Source organism: Homo sapiens, chromosome 11 (assembly GCF_000001405.40).
Source record: "Homo sapiens chromosome 11, GRCh38.p14 Primary Assembly".
Taxonomy (NCBI): domain Eukaryota; kingdom Metazoa; phylum Chordata; class Mammalia; order Primates; family Hominidae; genus Homo; species Homo sapiens.
Window position 1 is genome coordinate 87,515,959 of NC_000011.10, and position 25,929 is coordinate 87,541,887.

At 39.3% G+C, this 25,929-nt stretch overlaps 1 long non-coding RNA gene across 3 annotated transcripts in view, besides 1 other annotated feature; it reads left to right on the top strand.

Moving 5' to 3' along the window:
• LOC107984361 (uncharacterized) overlaps positions 1 to 25,929 on the top strand; it is a 552,293-nt gene that overhangs the window by 156,206 nt on the left and 370,158 nt on the right. The window lies entirely within an intron of this gene.
• Positions 12,526 to 13,026: an enhancer, noted in NCBI's record as "H3K27ac hESC enhancer chr11:87239526-87240026 (GRCh37/hg19 assembly coordinates)". NCBI's record gives its function as "activates a minimal SCP1, AML or CMV promoter by ChIP-STARR-seq in naive H9 embryonic stem cells {active_cell/tissue: H9 hESC(naive)}" and the evidence as "EXISTENCE:reporter gene assay evidence [ECO:0000049][PMID:30033119]".

Below are 25,929 nucleotides of genomic sequence, written 5' to 3' on the forward strand. Positions count from 1 at the left end.
GAATAAACATACATTGCACATCTGCCTACGAAGCAACAAATGAAACAGTGTGCTACATACTGTGGAATTATGAAAACTTGAGAAGAAATCCACTGTCTCTTTAAAACTCACACAGACATCTTGGGAGAGAAAAGCAGTGTGGATAAAGTTGATGTCGCAGAGTGGTAAAGAGTATAACACTAAGGAATGGAATGTAGTTAAGATCACAGAGTCTGGAACCAGAATGCCTGGGTTTCAAATACAATCCTCCATACACTCTAGTTGTTTAACAGGGGGCTAAGTTACTTAATAGCCCCATGCCTAAGTCTTCTTATCTGTAGGATGGAAATGATAATCATGACCACATCACTGTTGTAGTGAGGATTACATGAGTTAATAGGTGGAACGTGTTTGGGAATGATGCCTGCCACATAAGATGTGCTATTATTAATAAATTTTTTGGTGAGTTAAAGATGCTGTTCAGTGAGAAATGTACCATTTTTTGTAACCCAGTAAGAAAAAATATTAACAATTGCAATTAAAAAAGACATCAATTATGACTCATCTTGATTTCAGAGATGTAAAAATATGAACAAAGTGCATCTTAGATTTGATGTAATGCAAGTGTTTAGTAGTATCATGGCTTTGTATTAAAACACTGTATTTGAATTCTTTTGGTGCCACTTTCTGAGTCACTTTGAATAAATTCTTGAACTTATTTGAGCTTGTTTTCTTATCTGTAAAATGGAAATAATAATAGCGATCTCATAGGGTTGTAGCAGATATGCAAGGAGATCATATGTATAAACTGTCTTAGCAAAAACTAAGTACTCAATCCTTGGTAGCTATCACTATGGATGTGGAGGTGTGGGAAACTGGAAACCTAGTGCTTGGCATGTGAAGTGTTTAATAGGAGGTGCTCGTAGATAAGAGAATGGTGTCTTCAAGAAAAGCGTGAGTGTCCTCTGTCAGTTCTAGACAATAGGAAAGACTTCTCTTCCTTCACCCCATTATTTGGTGAGTTCTTACTTAATTTATGTGTTACTCTCAGTACATGGTGGTGTAGCTATAAGACATGTGTCAACCAGGGTTGGCCAAGCTGAAGACTTACCTGTTACATGGGAGAAAGACATATGTGATGGCAGAGAAAGTGAGGAAAACCAACATTTATTCAGTGCCTTGACATGTCAGAAATGATACTATGTGCATTGTTTGTTCCTCACAATAATGCTGTGAGGTGAGTCTTATTTTTGCCATTGGCAGATGAGGTAACTGAGTTTCATAGAGGTCACACATGTAGCAAGAGGCAGCGCTGGATTTTCTATTCAAGTTTTTCTGACTTTTAATGCCCAAATCGTTCCATAGTGTGAGTAAAATATTTCCATAAGAATATAAGAGAGTAGCTAATTAAATGCTATGACATAACATAGGATGTGAGAAGAGAGAGAGAGAGTACTTTGAGTTGAACTGTCAGAGGATGCTACAATGAAAAGGGCACTTTGAAGAAAATATATGATTTAATTAGGCAGAAGAGAGAATCCTAACTTGTTCCCAAGCATTCCAAGTAGAGGGTGTTTTGAACAAAGGTCAAGATAAGCATGACATATTAAGTGGTAGCAAGGAGGCTAAGCTGGCTGGACCAGAGAAACTGTTAGCTTAGGGAGTCCAAGGAGCATGTATCTTATGTTCTCTGTACCTCCAGCACCTAATACAATGATTAGCACATAGTAAGAGCTCCATAGTGATTGGTTAGGAAATACTGTTAAATTAATAGTGGAAAATAAAGCTGAAGATATGATTTAGGAACTCAGAATGTCAAGCTGACAATTTTGGACCTAGCCTATTTGTACTGATAAGTCATTGCATGTTTTTGCATAAGGGAGTGGTAATAATATTTGTACTTACACAGTGCTAACTATTTATCAGGTGCTCTTCCAAGTTCCTTAACCATAGTACTTTATTTACTCTTCATAGCAAGCCTATGAGCTAGATACTGTTATATTCCACACCATTTTTCAGATGGGAAACTGAGGTATAGGGAAGTTAGAAAACTTGTCGAAGGTCGGGCCGGGTGTGGTGGTTCATGCCTGTAATCCCAGCGCTTTGGGAGGCCGAGGCGGGCGGATCACCTGAGGTCGGGAGTTTGAGACCAGCCTGACCAACATGGAGAAACCCCATCTCTACTAAAAATACAAAAAAAATTAGCCGGGCATGGTGGCGCATGCCTGTAATTTCAGCTACCTGGGAGGCTGAGCAGAAGAATTGCTTGAACCCAGGAGGCAGAGGTTGCGGTGAGCCAAGATCACACCACTGCACTCCAGCCTGCGCAACAAGAGTGAAACTCGGTCTCAAAAAAAAAAAAAAGAAAACTTGTCCAAGGTCATACAGCTAGTAGGTGACAGAGCTGGGTTTTGATAAGTGGTCTGGTTTCTGTGTTCATACTCTTAACAACACACTATACATCCTTTTAGTAAAAATGGTTTCCTTAAGCTGTCTTTCTCCAGGGTCTATTTTCCAGGTTTCCTTAGCAACCTATCAATTTAGGAGTCAGTGGCATGAGTGAGCACTTATGTAAAGACCTGTGGCTTAAAGTTAAAAAGTTCCTGTCTTCAATGTGTTTTTCCAACTCCCTATCTCTGTCATGAATTTTCCTTTTGCCTGACAAAAACAGGAAGAACACAGTAGTAATTACCATTTTCTTAAGCATGTTAGCACTTTGTTTGTTTGGTTTTATTTATTTATTTTTTGTTTTTTGTTTTTTTTTCTGTTTTTTGAAGGGAGGAAGTCTTGCTCTGTCATTCAGGCTGGAGTGCGGTGGTGCAATCTCGGCGCGCTGCAATCTCTGCCTCCCGGGTTCAAGCAATTCTCCTGCCTCAGCCTCCTGAGTCACTGGGATTAGGCACACACTACCATAGGCACACGCTACCATGCCCAGCTAATTTCTTTTTTTGTATTTTAGTAGAGATGGGGTTTCACCATGTTGCCCAGGCTGGTCTCGAACTGCAGTCTGCCCGCCTCAGCCTCCCAAAGTGCTAGGATTATAGGCGTGAGCCACTGCGCCTGGCCATGTTAGCACTTTTATTAGATAATTAGTGATCACAGATATTATCTAAAATCAGAGAAGCTTCCACCACAAATGCCAAATTATCATTTCTTATGCTGGTATTTAGATTATGCTAAATTTCTGAGTCCAAATGGAAACTCATTTCTGAAGTCACATGTCATCTTGAAGGTGTGGGAACAAGGCATTGAGGCTTTATCTGAATAAAATGATATCTTAGAAAACCCAGAGCTTCCAGAAGGTATACGATGAGCAGAGCTGTGGCTGGCACGTAGCAGGGGCTTCATCATACTCATGTGTTAGATGAATGAGTACTACCATAGTATAAAAGGAGCAGGAATTTAGACCTGGCTGTGGATTTCAAAACTGTCCCCTGAATCTATAGGCTGTGTGACCTTGGGCAAGTTATGTCATCTTTCTGAGTCTTGGTTTTCTCACTTGGTCAATGGACAGAACAATAACTACCTTACAGAGCAGTGGGGGAGGATTTAATGAATCAAAATCAGATCATTGTATACGAGTCACCCAATAAACTGGTATGGAAACATTAGAATTAATTTTTTTTTAGTTCTCTGTTAGAGCGAACCTCAGTACCTCTCTTTTTTGCTATGTAGCCAGTGCCAAAACAGTAGTTGCCACTCTGTTATTGCACCTTAGTAATCTAACATATAATATTCTACATGCCATGATAAACTGACTAGGTATGTAAGGGGTCTACACCTAATTGTTACTGCTACTGTTAGTTATTCTTTGGGAAAACATTTTATTATATCAACATATGACAGAAGTTGATGACAGAAGTTTTGTTTTTATTGGTGCATGATGAAAACAGATTCCATTTCTAATCTTTGGAAATTTTGACACATCCTGTGCTTAAACCAAAGGGAAGAGGCAGTGTGCAAAAATGGGGAATGAACAGTATTAGGAAGCAGATTCAGTCATTTCATCTATAGCTGGTAGAACCAAGACAATGGAAGAGACTGTCAAATGTAACATGGTTCAGGTGTTCAAATCCCAGCTCTGCTGTTTATTAGCCATGAAGCCCAAACTCAACCTTTTACAGAATGGATGTAAAAATTAAGCAACTAATGTAATGTTTGGCACATGGTGGGAAATTCTGAATGGCGGTTCCAGTTTTCATTTAAATCAGAACACATTTATTATTTTAATCATTTACTCAACATGGAGACTCCACAGACACCTGTTAATAAAGAGGCCAACATGTTGTATGAAAGGGGCTAGAAATATAGGCAGAGGCCAGATCATGATGACCCCTGAAAAGCATGATTTCTGGGGGTAATGGGGGTAATTGAAGGATTTTAAGGGAGAAAACGATATAAATCTATTAATTTTTCAACTTATTTTCACAATAATTACCTCTATTCCTCTCTCTCCCCTCCTGTCTTAGACTTTCTCTCTTCTCACATTTTTATAATATTCTATAAGTTTGTTAAACTTTAATTCTCATTAATTTGATCCCCAAAGCAACATAATGGTATATGTATTATTATTACCCTAATTTTACCAATTTAAAAATAAAGTCTTGTAGTTTGCCAAGACAACAGATAGGACAAACTGTGCAAGCCTATGGTTTTTGTTTTTGAAGCATGTTCTCACTCTGTTGCCCAGGCTGAAGTGCAGTGGTGCAATCTCAGTTCACTGCAACCTCTGCCTTCAAGGTTCAAGTGATTCTCCTGCCTCAGTCTCCCAAGTAGCTGGGATTACAGGCATGTGCACCACACCCGGCTAATTTTTGTGTTTTTAGTAGAGACAAGGTTTCACCATGTTGGCCAGGCTGGTCTCAAACTCCTGACATCGGGTAATACGCCTGCCTCGGCCTCCCAAAGTGCCTGCGATTATGGGCATGAGCCACAGCACCCGGCCTAGCCTATGGTTTTTAATTGGTAAAATGAGGGCAACACAGCCAGACCCTGTCTCAAAACCACCACCACCACCACCACTACCACCACCACCACCAACAAAACCCTCACAAAAAAACCGAAGATGACATAGCTAGTAAGAGGCAGAATATAGACTTGAACAAAAATCATAGTATTCCAAGTTCTGTTTTTTCTGTACTCCATCACCATGATAGGAAAATAAAAACCAATATGGAAACTGTGTCATCTACTCACCAGGGAAAAATATAGAATAGCTCTAAATGCCTTGCTTCCAGGACATAAAAAAATAACCGTTAGACTTGGAATAACCTTATTTTTGAGTTTCGTTTCACTACTATTTATTCAGTGATTATTCTCTGTCTTCCTGATGGCTATCATTTGATTTATAGACCCACTGAGAAAAGTCATTTCAAAATGTTATTATTTTGGAAAATATCACTGTGTTTTAACCTTGCCAATTTTGCCCCCAGCCCAATGCCTTTAAGAATGTGTATGTTCTAGAACTGTGTCTTTTGTAGACTGTTTCTGCTCAGGTTAGCATCACTACTAAATCCTGGTTAGTTTTTCATAGGGTTTATTGTACAGAAGTGACTTATATCTTGGTAGCTATAGTTCAGTTTCAACTCTCCATCTATGTTATTAGAACTGGATAAAAACCTCTGGAATTGTTGAGTCCATTCGCCTCATTTTACAGTTGGAGAGACTGAAGCTTAAACAGGGGAGTAGAATAACTCGGCGTGTGAGAAGAGGTTGTGGTAGAATTGAGAATCGAATGCAGATGACTTGGTCTCTGGTTGCCCTTGTTACCCTAAGTTTGGGCTCGGAGGCAGCAGCATCAGTAAAACCTGGGAGTTGTTAGAAATGCAGAATTTGAGGTCCCACTCCAGACTTCTGAATCATAATCTGAATTGTAGAACTGTAGCAAGATACCTGTTTGCACATTGAAGTTTAATAAGCACTGTTTTAAATTACATTGGGTTTTTGTTTGTGTAGGTGTTTGCAGGTGTGTGTGTGTTCCAGGCGAGGGCAAAGGACATTCAGGGAGGCAGAAGAGGAAGACAGAAGAAGGGAAAAAGAGGGAGAGAGGAGGAAGTATGGGCTGGAGGTAATGAAATGCTCATATGATCTTTAAACACTTGATAAAGGGGACTGGAATTCAGTAGTGAGCTTTAGGAGGGATAATAATCTACAGGGCATCTCTACATAGAAGATAGATAAAGCATGGAGGAGACTATCCAGAGAGTAGGAAGTAAATACTATTATCATATTTAGAAACTGGCTGATCCAGCTTAAAGAGCCATCAAGGAAAGGCTAGAAATTAACATGAGGACCTCAGGATCCCAGAAGCTAAGGAGAAGTGTCTTAAGTTCTTTGACTAATGCTGTCAGATAACAAAGAAAGGTTAGAGAGATAAAAACTGAAAATTCCCTCTTGTGTTTGATAGCCAATAGGCCACTGAATGTTTGGCTAGGAGCCCTAGCTAAAAACTGTGTCCTCTGTATTCTTGAAATTTTCACTGGGCAGCTGTGTCAAATACAAACCTCAGGCCATTTTTGATGTTGATGGTAGAACCTTGTGCCAGCAAATGCCTCATCTGCCATGCTTTGCCGCAGCCTGCTCTTGGCCCCTGTCCTGCCTATCTCGGTCTCTCAATTCTTAGCTCTTGACTTGTTTGTTGGTTGCTGGATTCTACTTTCCATCTGAGTCTTCACCTGTTCCTTTGTGCGTTCCCTCCTTCAGACCACCAGTGCCTCCTAGCTTAGGTATTGCTTGGACTAATTTCCACTACAAGATTGTTTCTATTCCTCTCAACTCCTAGCACATATGCCTAGAGGTGAAATTATTCTAGCTGTTAAATTACAACACAAAATAACTGGGGGTATCAAACTGTTTACGTCTCGGTTTAATGTTAGAACATGTCCCTAAGAGTAAGTAGATTACGGTTTAAAATAAGCCCTGGGGAGAAGATGGGCTTCTAGAAAGAAGTCCAGATTTGCCCTTGGTGACAATGCTTAGCTGATGTATCAGGAGGGAAGTATTAAAATTTAAGCCATTAACCCAGCACTTTGGGAGGCTGAGGTGGGCGGATCATGAGGTCGGGAGATAAAGACCATCCTGGCTAACAGGGTGAAACCCTGTCTCTACTAAAAAATACAAAAAATTAGCCAGGCATGGTGGTGGGTGCCTGTAGTCCCAGGTACTCAGGAGGCTCAGTCAGGAGAATGGCAGGAACCTGGGAGGTGGAGCTTGCAGTGAGCCGAGATGGCACCACTGCACTCCAGCCTGGGTGACAGAGTGAGACTCTGTCTCAAAAAAAAAAAAAAAAAAAAAAAAAAAAAAAAAAAAAAAAAAAAAAATTAAGCTATTTACTCCAACACAATTGTCTATGCAGAATTTTTAATGTGATTTTTCAGTATCAGCACAATTCTGGAAAGAAATAGAAAACATTTTGCAACTTTTAAAAACAGTTGGTAGAATTCAGACTTCTAATTACTACTTTAAAAACAGAATTATTGAAAGTTATGGTGTAAAGTTTCCAATTGCTGACTTCCTTCCCTTTTTTAGGCTAGATTGCCTGGAATTGGAGATACTAGTGATTTATTGATGTCAAAAACATTGCAGAGCTATGAAAAGTTAGGAGGGGGAAAGATATCAAAAACAGGTGATAATAACCAAATAAAGCCATATTCATTGGTGCCAGCTAAAAACAATACTTCTTTGTGCCAGGCACTTACTGGGTTCCTTTACAGGAAGGAAACCAAAATATTTCACTGAAACTACCTTTGCAAAAAGTATGACAGTGAGAGAAATCTAACATAGCTGACTCCATTTTGCTTTTAACTTCACAAGCTAACTGTCTTTGGTATCAGGTCACCTAGCTATGGGAGGAATTGAGTTTCTAGTTTAACTTTAAAGCAACGATGATAGCCCCTTCTCCAAACAAGCCCCCTCTAGGGATTGAAACTGCCTTTGTAAGACTACTGAAAGGCCTTAAGGTTAGGATTATGGGAGAGGTCTGAATTCTGCCAAGATGTAGGCATAAAGATAGCCAGCCATTGTTCCCTAGCTTGCTTTTCTATAATTCCTTACTGCTCAGGAGTCATGTACCTGGAGTTCACAAGATTTGAAACTTCTTCAATTGCTCTAATAATATCACTATGGTCAAAACCTACGATTAGTCTTTGAGATATTTTTCAGACTTTTACATTCAAGTGGACCAACTGATGCCATCCAGGCTTGGACTCATATCCAGAGGCTGAATCGGCATGCAAAAACAGTTTGGAAACTTCCATGATTTCATCCCCAACCAATCAGCAGTACCCATTTCCTAGCCCCTTCCCTGCCAAATTATCCTTAAAAGTCCTAGCCTTGGAGCTCTCAAGAAAATGGATTTGAGAAACGTGTCCTGCCCTTCTGCTCAGCTGCCTTGTAATAATTAAACTCTTTCTCTGCTGCAACATCACTGTCTCAGTGCTTTGACTATTGGTGCCCCAGGCAAGAAGAACCCAGTTTGGCAATTACATCACCCCTAAATATTTTTCTTGACATAGTTCAAGATGGCTATTAAGAAGGGCTGTAAATAAAAGGCTAGCTAAGAAGCTGCTTTTTTGTCAGGGGAGATTTGCATCTGTAGAGAAAATCTGCATTGATACAGCCAGATTTTCTCTGAGGGCCTTGTTGGATCCAGGAAAGATTAACTGAGAGTCTGACACCTTTAAATATCTGAAAGAAACATTCACCATCTATTATCTCTGAGATTTCATCTGTATAATAAGACCACCTTTGCTAGGTAGGCCTCCTTTTTTTGTCCCCTTCCATAACCTGTTTTTCCACCATAACTTGTTTTGCCCTGATACAAGCCCCATTCTTTCTGTAACCTGTTGTCCAAAACACACCCCCAGGATGGCTAAATAGCAGAAAGGAGCGATTTACTGGTGATATTAGTTTGCAAACTTGGAAAAAATAGCCTCCGGACTGAAGGTGCTCTTTCTTTGAAGAGGGGAAGGACAGGTGTAAGTTTTATGCATCACAGGGCCTGTATCACAGTAGAGTCATAAATATTCAGCATGTTTGGGGGGAATACTACACATATTTGTGGGAGGATGTCAAACACATTTGCAATGGGTAAACATATGTAACATACATCACATGTTCACTTTGAGGTCGGGAGAGGGGATAGTTTAGCATTAAAATTAGATTGAATTTGCTTATTTACATCAAAAGGTGAATTATAGAACACAAAGACAGTTTGTGCACACCCTCTGTAAGCTGACCCAAACTGGCTTAAGGTTTGCAATTGCTTATCAATAAAGAATGTTTGTAGGGCTGTCCCTCAGTTCAATCATACCTGTAGTGGTCTGGGTTGTAAATCAGGTCCGATGTGTTGTCTGATAGCTCCTATTGTTAGAGAATTTAGCAGGAATGTAGTTTTTTGTGTAGCCCTAGAAATTTAAGGAGTTGCCATGCTAGCTGCCCTGAACCCTGGATCTGTAGGTAACTTTTGTTTTCTTAACCTTAGGGTCTGTCTTAGTTGACAAAGGGGCATCTATTTTTGTTTCTCAGGTAACAAAACTCAAGATGGTACATAAGCTTCTAAATCCTATTGAAGAGTGGGCTAATTACTCTCTAGGTCTTCCTATACACACTAGTAAGTTTCTATGTCTTTCCTCCCGTTAATCTACCTTTTGTCAGTTGATTTTCAGCAAACCTTCTTCTGCCAGTGAAGGGGAAGTTTTCCCTTGGTTCCTATAACACATTAAATTACCTCTTTTAGTCCTCCTGACAGCTGTATGGAGTGGATATTATTATCTCCACTTTGGAGATAAGTCTCAGCAAAACCATTATACCTAGCTCATTTGTAGCAAGAGACAAGATACAAACTCAGTATGTATTGATTCTGCGTATAATGGGAAATTTAAAAACCTGGCTTACAGTTAGTGGAAAAAAGTATTATAAAGGAGTATTTTCATATTTCCTTTATAAAATTTTATAAAGCAGATGCCTATTATATTTCACCAGAGGTAAAGTAATTCTAAATCTGTTATTGAAAGACAAAGCTGCAAGACTGAGCCTTGAAGCTAGATAGTTCTAGGTGACAAAAGAGAATTTCTAGTTCCTGGGCCAGCTGGGTCTGCTCTCAGTTCTGTACTTTTGCTTATGCTTAAAAAGCTGTTCAGTAAACCTGAAATATTTCTCTGCCCTGCTCTCCAACTGTACATCCAGTCACCGTTTGCAATGACTGCCCTCTCAAGGTTATCTGTGAGGCCACTTAGGTGCCATAAGCCTCAGCTTCTCCATCAGTCATTTAGGAGTAATAGAACTAGCACATAAAGTCATTCAGCATTTGAATGGCATAAAGCTACAAGTTATGTAGTAATTTTGATAATGAGTGAAGGAAAAATATAAAACATTGAAGATAGTGGCTGGCCTTGAAATCCCACCAGAAAACTAGCTCATAATTTTTTAAAACCAAATATTGTTTTATTAAATGAAAACACATTTATATGTATTAGGTGAATTCAAAGATCAAAAATGAAAAGAAAGTAGCTGAAACTAAAGGAAAACTGGCTTTCTGAAAGACATACAAAAATGTGTGTTTAAAACTGTTTTACAAATGACTAACAAATTCACTGAGTTTCATAACTGTTTGTCTTATTTGTGCAGATGGCTCTTAGTATAAGTGAGGCAACTCAATAATGAGGGACATTTGAGACATTTTAGGTTATCCAGCTACACTTCAGATCTTATCATCATCTCTCTTAGCCAGTTAGCTTATGTTTCTCTTGAAGCAGTGATTATAAGCATTTTAACAGAATATCTCTCTGTGCTGCTGTAAAATATATGTTTGGTTTTTGAACCTATTTCCTGGCATACAACTCTTAAATCCTTAGAAACTCCAAAGTGATGTATTTTTGTATGCTAATGCTAGACTGATGGCTGATAGCCCATAGGTAGGTTCAGGATGGGGGCTGGTTACCTGAAAAATCAAGGCATGATTAGAGGGTTGGGACTTTTAGCCCCATCTCCCCCCACATCCATTGAGTGGAGAGAGTTTGAAGGTTGAATTGACCACCAATGACCAACAATTTAATCACTCTCACCTACATAATAAATCTTTCACAAAAAACCCAAAGGGCCTGGGTTTGGAGTGCTTCCTGACAGCTGAACACTTAGAGGATTTTGGAGGGTAGTGTACCTTGGGAGGGCATGTAAACTTCAAAACCCTTCCATCATACCTCACCGTATGTGTATCTTCATCCACCTCCTTTGTGATATCTTAATAATAAACCAGTAAATATGTTTCCTTGAGTTCTGTGAGCTTTAGCAAATTAATCATACCAGGAGAGGGGCTTGTGGTGTCAGAGATGTTCAAACCAGAGCAACTCCATCTTGAATAGGGGCTGGCAAAATAAGGCTGAGACCTACTGGGCTGCATTTGCAGGACATTAGGCATTCTAAGTCACAGGATGAGATAGGAGGTCAGCACAAAATACAGGTCATAAAGACCTTGCTGACAAAATGGGTTGTAGTTAAGCAGCAGCTAAAACCCACCAAAACAAAGATGGCTATGAAAGTGACCTTTGGTTGTCCTCACTGCTTATTATATGCTAGTTATAATACATTCCCATGCTAAAAGACCTCCCACCAGTACCATGACAGTTCACAAATGCTATGGCAATGTCAGGAAGTTACACTTTGTGGTCTAAAAGGGGGAGTGTGATAGTTAATATTGAGTGTCAACTTGACTGGATTGAAGGATGGAAAGTATTGTTACTGAGTGTGTGTCTGTGAGGGTGTTGCTGTCACAAGATCCTTGGGGTGTCTCTTCACCAGCTGAAAACCTCTGTGTACAGCAGCACCTTCTGCCTGGGTATTGCTGGTGCCTGCTAGGCTTGTTCCGCCCATTTGTTCAGGCAGGCTGCGCTCAGCTTGTGCTACTGGCCCAGATCCCACACCTTCCAAGGGTAAGCCAGGCATGGAGCAGTGAGGGGTGTGTGTATGAGCAAGCATGGGGTCTGGCCACTGTGCACAGCCAGGCATACTACCTGCTGTGGTGGAGTGGGCAGCTCCAGGCACCAGCACAGGTGCTGGCTCTGTGCAAGGTTACAGCTGGACCAGATGTACCACATGCGGCTTCCACTGTGGGTACCTGTGTCTGGACAAGGGGAATTCAGTGGCTCCCAGAAACTTGGAAACACCAGGAACCACAGAGCCCCAAAGGAGGGTGTCACAGCCCTCGCTCAGGGAGCCTCTGGGTCTGGATTCTCTGAAAGGCTGCAGCTCTTCTTTCCTTCTCATTGCCTGCAACATAGTGAGTGGTTGGGGGTGGGGGCATGTTTCAGCTCTCTTTATGTTACAGCTCTTTCAGTCCCATCATTTGGTAGGTTCCAACTTATTGTCCTGTGTCCAGGAAGAATGTGGTACTCAGACAACTGGAGGGGTGAGCAAGATGCAGGTGAGCTTCATTGAGTGACAGAAAAGCTCTGAGGAGACCTACAGTGGGTAGCTCCTTTGTGCAGGCAGGTCATCCCAATGAGTGTCCAGCTCTCAGTAGAGAAGAGACCCGCATTGGGTAGCTCTTTCCACAGGCAGGTTTTCCTGAGGAGTCAAGGAGACCTGAAGTGGGTAGCTCCTTCCCACAGCTGGTAGTCCCAGTGTCTGCTTGAGTCTGGCTGAGTCTGGGGTTTTTATGGTCTCAGAAGGGAGGAGGTGTGTGCTGATTGGTACATGGATGGCCATGGGCGGGCCTGAAAAAAGCACCATAAGTTCTTACTCCCAGCCACGAACTACACCCTGAACTGACAGCCTGGATCCCAGGCTTCAGATGGTCCTTGGTTTCACGGTGGAATTTCACCAGGCATCCACCCCTGTCTGCCTCCTGCCATCAACATGCTGTCCATGGTGCCCAGTCTGTGCTGAGAGGCACCTGTAGGCCTGTGCTCAACCACCCTCAGCCCCTCACAGCCTCCTTCCTGTGCTCTTGGGCACCCAAAGTCCAGAGGGGGCTGAGTTGTCAGGGGGCTGGCATGTCAGTGCCACCCTGAACTCACACACACGCAGCCCATGTTGTGACAGTGCGACAACTTTGCTTCATCCCAGAGCAGGCTCTGAGGGTGGGAAGAGGCCAGGGAGAAGGAGCAGGCACTTTCAAGCCTGCAGGGGCAGGGGCTTCCTGGGCCTCTGAGAGTGTAGAGATGGCAGAGTCCAGCGCCACTGCTGGGTGGCTTCAGCTGCACCTGGGAGCACAGGGCTCCTGCCCCTTTAACTAGGGACAAGACTGTTGGCTCTTCCTGGCTCCTGCAGGCCAGCAGAGCATGTAGGCTTGGCCATGCCTCCCTGGCTTAGGTGGTGTCTTCACAGAGGCCACTCCAGATGCCATCGTTGCCAAAGGAGATTAAAATTTGAGTCAGTGGACTGGGAGAGGCAGACTGGCCTACAATCTAGGCGGGCACCATCTAATCAGCTGCCAGTATGGCTAGAATAAAGCAGGCAAAAGAAGATGGAAAAAGCAGACTTGCTGAGTCGTCTGGCCTTCATTTTCTCCCATGCTGGATGTTTCCTGTCTCAAACATCATATGACAAGTTTTTCAGCTTTTCGACTCTTGGACTTACACCAGTGGTTTGCCAGGGGTGCTTGGGCCTTAAGCCATAGACTAAAGGCTGCACTGTTGGATTCCCTGGTTTTGAGGTTTTGGGACTTGGACTGGCTTCCTTGCTCCTCTTATTGCAGATGGCCTATTGTGGAACTTCACCTTGTGATCATGTGAGTCAATACTCCTAATAAACTCTAGTTCTGTCCCTCTAGAGAATCCTGACTAATATGGGGAGGAACCCTATAAGGTCTTAAGAAGGGGAATTCTAGGAATTGCCCAACCCTTTCCTGGAAAACTCAAGAATAATCCACCCCTTGTTTAGCATATAATCAAGAAATAACTGTAAGTATACTTACTTGAACAGCCTATGCTGCTCATGTTCTGCCTATGGAGTAGCCATTATTTTATTCCTTTACTTTCTTAGTAAACTTGCTCACACTTTATAGATTTGCCTTGAATTCTTTCTTGTGTATGATCCAAGAACCACCTCTTGGTGTCTGTGTTGGGACCCATTTCTGGTAACAGTGGGAACCCCAACTTGAAGCTAATATGTCAGAAGTTCCAGCAGCCTGGACTTAACAACTGATAGGGAGGGGGGTTGGTCTTATGTTACTAAGTTCTCAGCCTTTGGGATCTGAGACCATCGCCAGGTAGGTAGTGTTGGGATGGAATTGGAAGACACCTAGCTTGTGTTTGCAGAGGAATTTCTTGCTTGCTTTGTGTATGGGGACTTGTACACATTTAGTCACAGAAGTCATCTATGTTGATTGTTGTGGTGTGAGAGAAGAGAGGAAAGATTGGAGATTTTTAATCTCACTATACTTGATTCTCTATAATTACAATTTATTTAATAAATAGTTATTTAGTACTTTGTAAATATAGCACCTGATATTCAGAACTGCGTACACTGTGATAACTCACACTGCAAAATTAAATAATTCTAACTTTATTGAATAATTCAAACTTGAAGCATTTGGAACAAACATTAAATTATTCTGAGCCTTGGGAGGAATGCAGCTATACAGCCTGAGTTTTGTGGCATGAAGCTGCAACTTCTGCCTTTTTTTTCTTTGAATAATTAGGAAGACAAAATGGCACCAGAGGTAGAGCCTCCTTAAATTACTACCCCTCTTCATGGAGTAATAAAGTAATCTTTCTCGGAATGTGGTAATCTGTAACTAGTCAAATTGCTGTAAAATATTGTGGTCTCATGTAGAAAACATAATCCTGTTACAATTTCTTTGTCTATGCCCACGTAAGTGTAATTTTAACTTCTCCACTTGGGAATGCTGACCTCATTCATTTGGAGTCAATGTTTCCTGGATGGCAATTTTCAAGCTTTGTGCTTGAATAAATTCTATATGTAATCATATTTTCTGACCTTCACTATTTGAAGTTAACAACACAAAATTTGTCTTTTGCATGGGCTCAGTTTCCTATGTAAGTCTCATGAGGATAGAGACTGTGTTTTATCCAGGTTTTTCATATTTAGACAACAGAGGGAGCAGTGGCTTAAGAGGCAAAAAATAATACATGTAATTTTGGGTTTCTTAGAGACTCTGTGTTAAGTAAGACATAGATGACAAATTAGGCAAGGCCTGAGATATTTTTGTATTCTTTTCGGTACTACGTGTCAAATGGAGAAAGTTGTTAGCACATGATGGATGTTGGAGATTTAAATTTCCCTCCAGGGCCATAGTAGGCTCTGGCTTTGATTGCTGCTAAAATAGGTGCAAGTTTTTGTAGCCATCTCACTATGTAGACACACTCTTGGTTTGGTTAAAGCTTCATAACTAGGCCATAACAAGTAGGCAATGAATAATGAAGACAGCTAAAACAGGATTTGATGGAAAGGCAGAGGAGGAAGAGTTGGTATAAGAAACAGATTTGGGAAAGTAATAGGCAGGTGCAGGGGCTCAGAAACTGATGCCCCGAAGTATAGTGCTTTGACACGTGAAACTGAAGAAGTCTCAAGGTGGTCTCTGACTCCCCACCATCTCTCCCGAAGGACAGAATAAAGTTGTTCTCTGAAGTTTCTTTACCTGCCTAAAGTTCAGGTCCACCAAGGAGAACAATCATTTTTTTCTCCCCTTCCTATTATGTCATTGCCTGCCGCAGAAAGACCAAGAATGTAACCACATTTGAACAGACCCTTTCAGGAGATGGTGCCTGTCTCTCAGGATCATTCAAATTCCAAAGAAAAATATTTACAAGTTAATCTCTGTTCCCTTATCCATTTGTTTTCCCTAGTAATTATTTGTTGGTCCTCAAGAGAATTCCTCACTTTACCCCATTCCACAACCCATTTTTTCAGGATCCAAGCCCACATTCTTTCTGTAACCTTAAGAGAATTCCTCACTTTACCCCATTCCACAACCCATTTTTTCAGGATCCAAGCCCACATTCTTTCTGTAACCTTAAGAGAATTCCTCACTTTACCCCATTCCACAACCCATTTTTTCAGGATCCAAGCCCACATTCTTTCTGTAACCTTAAGATGATATATAAGCTTCTGTTCCCCCTTGGGGATTGAGTAATCACTCTGTGATTTTTCTCCTGTATACACATTAATACATTTATTTGCCTTTTCTCTCAATCTGCCTTTTGTGAGCTGATTTCTCAGCAAACCTTCAGATGGTGAAGGGAACATTTCTCTCTTAGCCCCCACAGTTTTGGTGCTGTGAGCAGGATACCAGATCTCTACTCTTTTAGAAGCTGTAATGAAGGAAACCCAGGATCTGACTAGCCCACATAGGTATAAGACTTTCTTACCAACCAGGGTCCCGACCTCTTTCTCTGTGATACCTGGTCAAGCATATGGTAAAAATCTCTCTATTTTTCCTCCACAAGTTTTAGATAATGGGAGAAAAGGATTTACGTAACCGGTCTTGGGTGTAGTGACACTGACGTGTTTTTTATTACTTTTGGTATGAATATTCATATTATTTGATAACTTTCTCCCTAGAAATACTCCTTTCCTCTGTCTTTGTGTTTCTGTGTTGTTTTGTCATGAAGAGGAATACTGAATGGGATTCCCCCTTGTCGTTTTTTATGTCCTTGAGAACTTGCCTTGTGACGAAGTGGAAGCATTCTCTCTTGGTCTCTGTCATTTGGGAAGTGTGGTTTTTATTTTTTATTTCTTATCCCTAATGGTGAGTAATTCAAGAGGTGTGATTTTTAGATCATGCCAGGTGGCCAGTCTGTAAATGCCTGGGAATCTGAGACACATAAACACACTTTTTGTTCTGAATGTATTAAGCTCTTGGGAGAGTTAGTTTTACTAAGAAGTCCCATCAGTAAAAAGTTTTTGTTGTCTCAATACTCTTGTTGTCTGATAAGTCTGTGGCAACAGGAGTCTTGCTATCTTAGCCTATTCTTGGAGATAATTGTTTTTGGGAAAGATCTTATGAGATTGTTTCTTCTATACCCTCTCCAGGAAACACTTCTAAACCTAGAAAATTATATCCTGGCCTTTCCATGAGGACGCTAATAGATTGAGTCTCTGTTGGAAGAAGCACACCATTATAAGTTCTAATTATCAATGGCCAGAAGATAGCTCATTTAAATTAAAAAATACTCCTAAACTAAGAAGAAAATAATTTAAAAAGCTGTTATTCTAAATAATTGCCTTATCTATAGTTATTAAAAAATCAAAAAAGATTATACATAACAGTGTCATGGCTAGCTTTAGAAATTCTCTTGACTAAATTAACAAAAATCTGACCTAAAACAGAGTTAAAAGTTAAAATCTTTCAGAAACTCAAGCTGCCTGCTTTCAATAGAGGTTCACGATGTGGGCTGCTCCATCTTGTACTCACTAGTTAAATCTCTGTGCATTCACAATTGTGGCCTGGGTTTGATTCACAGTCCGGAAATTAGGCTTTTTAAGTTTTACATTTGTGTAACTTCACTTTTTGGGGCACTATAATAATTAATTTACTGATCCTTTTCTCTTCCATGGGCGGTTTTTACTTTCCTGTTCCTTCTCTGTGGGGACATAAAAGGCTTTTGGTCCTTTGTGTGTAGATGGTCAACCAAGAAGATGAGACCCTAGAAAATATGGCCAGAGAGATGTGGGCCATACCCCATTTGCAGCCGTGAAACTTTCCTTTCTTCAAGCTGTCTTCAGATGGTTCCATATCTTGTGAGGACTGCCTTACACTTCTTTGGCAATGACTTGTGCATCCTTGGTTAAATCATAATCTTGGTTAAGATGTATTGGTTTCACTTGGGAGGCCACCTTAGGTAAAACGTTCAAAAGCCAGGAATACATCTTGTTTGTCCTGACTAAAATCTGATAGTAAGAGAATTAAAGGTATTTTTTTTAAAGAGGTTTGTGGTCAGAAATTAGCTTAATTAAAAGCTGATATTCAAGCTATATAGACACACACACACACACACACACACACACACACACATTTTAAACACCTTTCTGCTTTTTTCTTTTTTACCATTAAAATTTTTTTCAGTCAACTAAACTACTTCAACTTTTGAAAATTATGTGCTTGATCCCTCTATTCATTTACTTTCTTAAAAATTGTTCTCCCATTTACTTCTACTTCCTACTCTTTTTTCCTTTTTGCTGTCTTAAATATTACATGAAGGGATCTAATATTTCAGATCTTTTGCAGTGGCTCATGCCTGCAATCCTAGTGACTTAGGTGGCTGAGGCAGGAGGATTATTTGAGTCCACGAGGTCAAGAGCAGCCTGGGCAGCATAGTGAGACTGTCTCTACAAAAAAACACAAAAATTAGCCGGATGTGGTGGTGCATGCCTGTAGTCTCAGCTACTTGGGAGGCTGAGGTGGAAAAATCACTTGTAAATCACTTGCAGATTACCCAATCTCAGGTATTCTGTTATAGCAGCACAAAATGGACTAAGACAGAAGATAACAATAGAAGTTGAGGCTGTAGTGAGCTGTGATCACATCATTGCACTTAAGGCTGGGTGACAGAGTGAGATCCTATCTCCAAAAAACAAAACAAAACAAAACAAAAACAGGAACACAGAAAAGGGTTCCACTCACTCCCTTTTTGCAGTCTTCGGTCTTGCTGTGGAGTCTAAAATGTCATGGGCAGATTCTGCTCTGGCCTAAAACTCTGTCTTTCACGTTGCATTATGTAATCTCTGGCTTTTGGAGGTACCACGTATTACTTTATACTGTGGAAAACACTTTAACTTTCTGTGTGTGATAATTGGTGAATCACTGGAAAGAGCTATGGTTTTAGAGGTGGCTGGCAACAATTGTTTACAGTAAATGGTTATTACTGCATGGGACTACTTGTTTCTTTATGTGCTTAGATTTTAAAAGGTGCAGTTTAAACACTTAAAAATGTCTTTATAACAAAGTACGCTTCATAAGCATTGCAGGACCTGTTCTCATGGCATTTCCCTCTTTTTGGGAACCTGAGATTCAGTGTAAAGGTGGACTCTTTAATTTTTAAAAATCTAGATACTCTAGATACTTTGCCTTTCAACTATACCTGCTTTTCATATATTTAAATTATTAGGCCCTAAGAACTACAAATGTTTTGTTGGCCCTTTTCCTTATTGGGCTCTGCCCTGAGCTCAATGGTCCAGTTAAAAAACAGACTAAATTAAAAGCTAATTATTTAAGTAAAATTAGTATCTTTATAAAAATCTATGGTAGATTCCTATTATTTGTAAGTTACTTTAACATTCATTTTTGATCTTCCTTAACTAGCCCACCAAAGCTCCTTTAAAAAGCTGAAATCTTCTCTTTGCAGCCATGTAAGACAGATAAACTTAGCCTTTTTCATTTATGAAGACACAGTTTAACTCCCACTGTCCTTTTAAGCTAGTTAGTTTTAGTGATTACGTATCTAAAATTTTAAAATCAAAATGATGAAGTCTTTGTGTCTGTGTCTTTATGTGTACTGTATATATGTGTATATGCCTGTAATGCTAACATGGTAACAAATTAACTTATGTATAAATGAATCCACATAAATCAAATAACTAGCCCAAATACTTTTCAAGTTAATGTAGCTTTAATAATTTTTGGTAAAGACAAATAGTTTTAAACTTGTTAATAAAATAAAAACATCTTCAAACTTTAATTTAGACAGTTTCTTTGCCTAGGTCTATTGGTCAAACAGGTTTATACTATCTCTACGAGCTTTTTAAGGTCATAAAACTGTTACTTCTATAATGTTTTTGATACTTAATTTGTCTGTGAGATTACGTCATTAAACTTGAGACTTTAAATTCTGAGTTCTAGATGAGTGGCCATGGTAAGATCTGGGGATGGCATTCGGACCCTGTCTTCCCTGACCCAAATGTGCCTTCTGGCCATGCTGGGAGGGGTTGGATCTGCCAGACAGTTTCTCTGTAGCCCTGCCCTTTGTTCTATACTCTACATCTAATAAAAAATTAAAATTACTTCGTAGGTTTTCACTAAAAATTAAGGCTACAAAGAGTTAACATTATAATTAACATATAAACATTAAAACTACTAAGTATAAAAAATGCATATACAACATATATTTAAAAATTAAGATGTGTAAAAAAACTTTGTAAATTGTATGATTTTGAACTTGGTTGGAGGTATACTCTTGCTGAGTACCCTACAAGAGCAAGATGTAAGAAGGTGCTATTATTTGAATGTGTTTCCAAGAATGCATGTGTTAGAAACTTAATCCCCAATCTGATAATGTTGGGAGTTGGAGCTTACTGGGAAATGTTTAAGTCATCTGGGTGGAACCCTCATGAATAGATTAACGCCATTATGAAAAAAGCTTGTGGGAATGGGTTCATTCTTTTACACTCTTGCCTTAGCACCTTCTGCCATTTGATGATGCAGCAGGAAGACCTTTGTGAAATGCCAGTACTTCGCTCTTACCATTCACAACCTCCAGAACAGTGATCTAATATGTTTATGTTCATTGTAAATTAGCCAATCTCAGGTATTCCATTACCTGAGATTGGGTAATGTACTAAGACAGAAGATAACAGTAGAAAATATCTGCTTAGCTAACCTTTCTCATATTTGAGTTGTGATCACGCAGTTGGCATAATTCTCCTTCCTCTTGGTGCCAAAGGTCAGAAACCTGGGGAGAGGTTGCCTCAAACTCTTCTTGGTGACTGGTGGAGTCAGATGCTTGGCTTTTGTGGAATGAATGACAAAAAACATCAGTTTGAGGGACAGCGGAAAGAGAATTGCCAGAAGGTGGAAAAGAGAAAACTGATTATTAGAGGCGTGACTCTCTCATTAAGTAGCTATGTGATCTTGTGGAAATAATGCTGAGCTCAGCTTCCTAGTCACTGAAATGAAGGAATTCTTACCTGCCTAATGTAAGAATCACACAAGATGATTTCAGTGAAAGCACTCTATGAACCTAAAATCGTCCTATAAAGTTAGCCACCTCTCTTTGTGACTAGTTGGGCATCATTCTAGGGTCCGGTAGAGTGTTATTATTTCATTGCTGTTTATATTTCTTTTAAAACATGGAATTATGTCTACTAGGGATTAGACAATGGATCGTTTTTAACATTTTCAGTTAAATGACCCTATACTTTCCTGAAGTCTTGTTTCAGTGTGGTCTCCAGAAAGTTCTTCATAAACTCTGAAGGCTAATTTGTCAGAGCTGTATTATATTTTGATGTAGTATAATTTGTTTTTCTATAATCCCACATCTTTCTTGATGTTATTACGTTGGTCAACTATTAAAAATGGATACTTCTCTTGTAATATCTATTCAGAAACAGCAAAAGGGCATCATAGAGCAAACATTAGACATTGGGGTAAGATGACAATAAACCTTCTTCCCCAGATTTCTAGGTGTCTCTGGTGGGTTAATTAAAAGTTGATCACAGTGTTAATAAGTAAGAAAAATGGAGGTTTAAGATGGAGAGATGGGGATGGGTATTTAGGTAGCTCTTAATTATAAGTTGAGCTAGAACAGTCTGTTAAGTTTTGGCAATTTGCTTAACAAGGAACTTAAAATGGAGAACTTGAAGAAGTTACCTAAGAAAGAAGTTCATTGCAGTAATACAGGATGAAAATGCCTGGCCCAGTGAAGTGAGAAATTTCTGTAACAAAATGAACCCCTCAGGAAGATATAAAGAGTGAATTTGTTGTGCTTCTAGTATTATGGGAAATAACTTACTGACAAAGCAGAATTTATAATTTAAACTGATTATACAAACCAGCTCTAAAGCCAGACAAAAGTGTGCAGATTAAAAGTTAATTAGCTATACTGATCCCTGAGGTGTTGCCTGTGTCTATGAGGGGTTGTTATGAAACATTGATATTGTATAAAGTTGTGAATTTACTGGTCATTGAAGTACAGAAAGTCTTCTGTCCAATTCAGCTTTGTACTTGCAAAGGGAAAGCCAAACCACTGGAACAGGTTTTCTTCCCTATTTTGCCTCCTCTGCTTGTTTCCTGATTGGCAGATGGACAGATTTGTGAGTGTAAATGAAAACCACTCTTACAGCTACTGTAGAGAAAGAGTAGCTTATGATAGTAAAGTATTTTCTCATCTCTCTGCAGGTATAGGGATTTTACACAGCCATACCTTGTTCTGTAATGATATGAAGCCTTTTTCTGAGGTGCAGAATCTTCTGTCTCCTACAATTATTTCCTTTCCATAACCTTTCTTATACTATCCACAGAAGTTAACCATACTTTTTCATCTCATGAACATCTTTTCTTAAAAAAATCTATTTCCACTTTTGGCAACTTTATACCACAATCATACTTTTATGCCCTTTTGAGCAAAGAAATTGAGGAGGGGGATGCCTCCCTGGATGGCCAAGGGATCATATAACAAACTGTGATCCTTTAATTACTGTTTAAATATCTGTCTGAAACCGTGGCATTTCTGGAGCCAGCAACAACGACAACAACAACGAAAGAAAAGCAGAGTACCACCTAAATTAAATGGCGCAATTTCACCTTTCTGTTCTCTCCTAGTTAATTTCAAGGTGAAACTCAAAGGGACCATGAAAAGATGGAATAAAAATAAGACACTTCAAGCCCATTCTAGTTTTGTTTACTGAACTCAATATCTCTTGAAATGGAAAGGCAGAATCCAGGTGTTAGCATCATATTGTCCTGGGGAGATGTGAGAGTGGAGGTCATGCAGTAAAAGGGCATGAAAGCATGCATACTGCATGAGGGATTAATTGCCAGGAGCATATGAGAAGAATCATGGCACTTAATACCCAGAGCCTGAACAAATACCAATATGAGAAAATGGTCACATATCTGCAAACACAGGAGGGCTCTAAATCAATAAATAAAGAAGAGATTAGCTTATTTTTTCATAAATAATACAAGATGCTGTTGGAGAAGATCATCAAAGATAAACTGCCTTGTGTAGCTTGACCTAACTGTTTTCAAGTTTAAATTCTGAACAATGTTCATAGTAATTGAGACCCTGTTAAAAGAGTAGGGGAGGGGTACCTTGTGGTATTTCCAGGTTTTGCAGTATACCTTCCAGTCAAGTTTGCTTGTTTTTTGAATCTGTAGCTATAATGCTGAATATTGAAGATTTAAGTTTATTATCCAGAGCCCGAGGCTTATTAGAACCTAAGCACTAAATGGGAATTCAATTAGGTTCTCTCCATCCTATTTACTAAAGCAGAAAATTGAAATCGTTAGTCTTAGAACAGTGTTTCTCACTTGTGGGTGGGGAGGGGGCAGAGACAGCCTTTCTTCAGGAAGACATCTCACTCTCCCAGTGGGTATATGAAAATACATATTTAAAATTATAAAATTTTAAAATTGAAATACCACAAAAAGTCATTAGTTTTGTAATGAAAACTACATCAGAAAAGCTAAAGGAAAGTTCTTGGTTGATGAGAATACATAGAAAATAAACTCTTCTTTGCCTGTCAGTAATTCCATTATGGAGATGAGAACAAGACCTCTGGACATATGCAAAGGAGCAGAATCTCTGGAGAAGAGAGGAGATGTTTATGTTTATCAAGAGAGGGCATAGGTTAAAACATATTGAGAAGCATGGTCTTATAACAGGGTCCAATGCAGCAGGTTCTGTAACAAGAATGTTACGCTTATGCTTCACTTAACTGGAAAATTCAATTTAATAGAGACCCTTTAACATTTTGATTAATAGAAGATCAACTGTCACCCATTTGGGTTTTTTTTTTCCTTTTCTTCATTAACTACTTTTGGGAATGTATAGACCCTACCTTCATGCAAAGGTCTGTTTGAAACCTGAGGGATTCCTTACAACACTGCTGAATTCTTCCAGTGCCAAGGGCATTTTGCTGGTATAGAAGAAAGAGGAATTATTGAGAACAGATGGCCCTTTTGATTTGATTTTTAGCAAAATGGGGTAATAGCGTGCTCACTAATGCATGAAATCTGTTACATCTATTCTCTTGCTTTGCTTGGAGGAAGAACATAAGTAAGAAATGTCTTTTCCTTCATTTTTTTCATTTCTCACTAAGCTTGTTAGGAGAATAAATGACATTAGGAATTCTGTGCAAGTGTTACATTTGTTCCTGCTTTTTAATCTATCACTTTTTAAGGTTAAAAAACTATCAAGGGAATTTGAGAAAATGAAGTAAAGGATATAAACCATGTTATTATCAGAGAGTTTGAAGAATAGTGATTTCAACCATATTTTTCTTATCCTCAAGATCGCCTGCCAAAATAAAAATGCAGATTCCTTAATATAGGATTAATTACTCAAGAATTGTTATCAGGCAGGTTCACAGGTAAAATGCAGCATTAATTTTAATAAGCATGTTTTTCTTTTCCATTTACCTTTTTAACTTGAGGAGTATGCTTTTAATAAAAATACTTTGTAAATGCCCTTTCAATGATTGTATTTGCTGTAATTGGCAGAAATGTGGACTCTGAGGTATATGTCAACCATAGGGCATTATATATAGCAGGGACACTATACTTAGGAGGGCACTGTGCTTGTTGCTGGGTTTCCCAAGTAGAAATAATTTAGAGAAATATGGAAGAGGCCAAACATACCAATGCAGAAGTTAAGGAATCTAAATTCAAAAGCTGAGGCCAAAAAAATTATATTACACACACACTCAGGAGAGAACAAGGGGCCCAAGTTACCATATGAGAGATCTAGATCAATATTTGTCACTAGTATCTAAGGGATGCTAATAGCTCTTTTATGAAAAAGGCCACTTCTATGAAGAGTCAAGTAATTGTTAACCTTCCTGGCATAGAAATGGCTTCCAGGAATATTCCTCACACTTACTTTTTCAGCCATGATGACATGAAGATGCAGGAATAGATATCACATCACAGTATGAATGACTTCTACTGGCCCTGGAATTATATGGCAAGGCTTACTGGAAGGAACTGGAAGGTACTCTGTAGAATGTTCTTCTAATCATCAGACATGTAACACTGTAAGCAGGGGAGTCAGTTCTCATTGATGTCTATTCAAAGCCATCATAATATAAAACACCATTTTATACATCATCCTAGAAAAAGGGCTGTTACTATTTTTCTGTCAAGAATAATACTACAAAACTGTCATATGAAGAGGTAGTCAAAGAGTAAGCAGCAAAAAAAAAAAAAAAAAAAGGCATGAAGAAAGTATTATGGAAGTGGATCAGGCAGTTACTCAGTAAACATAGTGTGTTATTTCTCTGGATTTGGTGATGTTTGGGGTATCTGTCAATTTTTAAAAAATTTTCAATTTATTGTGATTTCTTTTTAAATCTAAATTTATATTGAGTTTTATGCCCAATTTTCTATTTATATATTTTTTTTATTTTTCAAAATGACCCCCCTAACTACATAAGCTTTAGGCCTCCAAAAACCTTGATTTGTAATTGTGAATATATTATCCTAGCTTATAATGACAAATCCTAGACTTTTGTCTTGCTAGATGTGTATGAAAAGGTCTGAACACACCCTGAGGAGGGCATTTCTCAAGTGTCTCTGAGGCAGTCTATTCTGTCAGCATCCTCATGGTTCTCACAATTTTTTCCACATTTCCCTGATTGTCTTCACTTATTTTAAAAGTCTTTGATTATTGTGGGTACACAGTAGGTGTATATGTTTATGACATACATGAGATATTTTGATACAGGCATACAATGCATGATAATTACCTCAGGGTAAATAAGGTATCCATAACCTTAAGCGTTTATCCTCCTTTATGTTACAAACAATCTGTTGATCAAAGAAAATAAGAAAATGACGAGACAAGTCACAATCATTTTCGGAAATTTACTTGCCAAAGTTAAGGATGCACCCAGGAGACATGTCTATGCCTTTCTCTGAAGAAGATTTTGAGGGCTCCAAATTTAAAGGGGAAAGGGTGGGATATTGAGAACCACACAGTTTTTACAGAAATGAAAGGGGGCAGAGGAAAAATGTGGGGAATCTGCATTTTAAATAAGATAACACAGACAAAATAG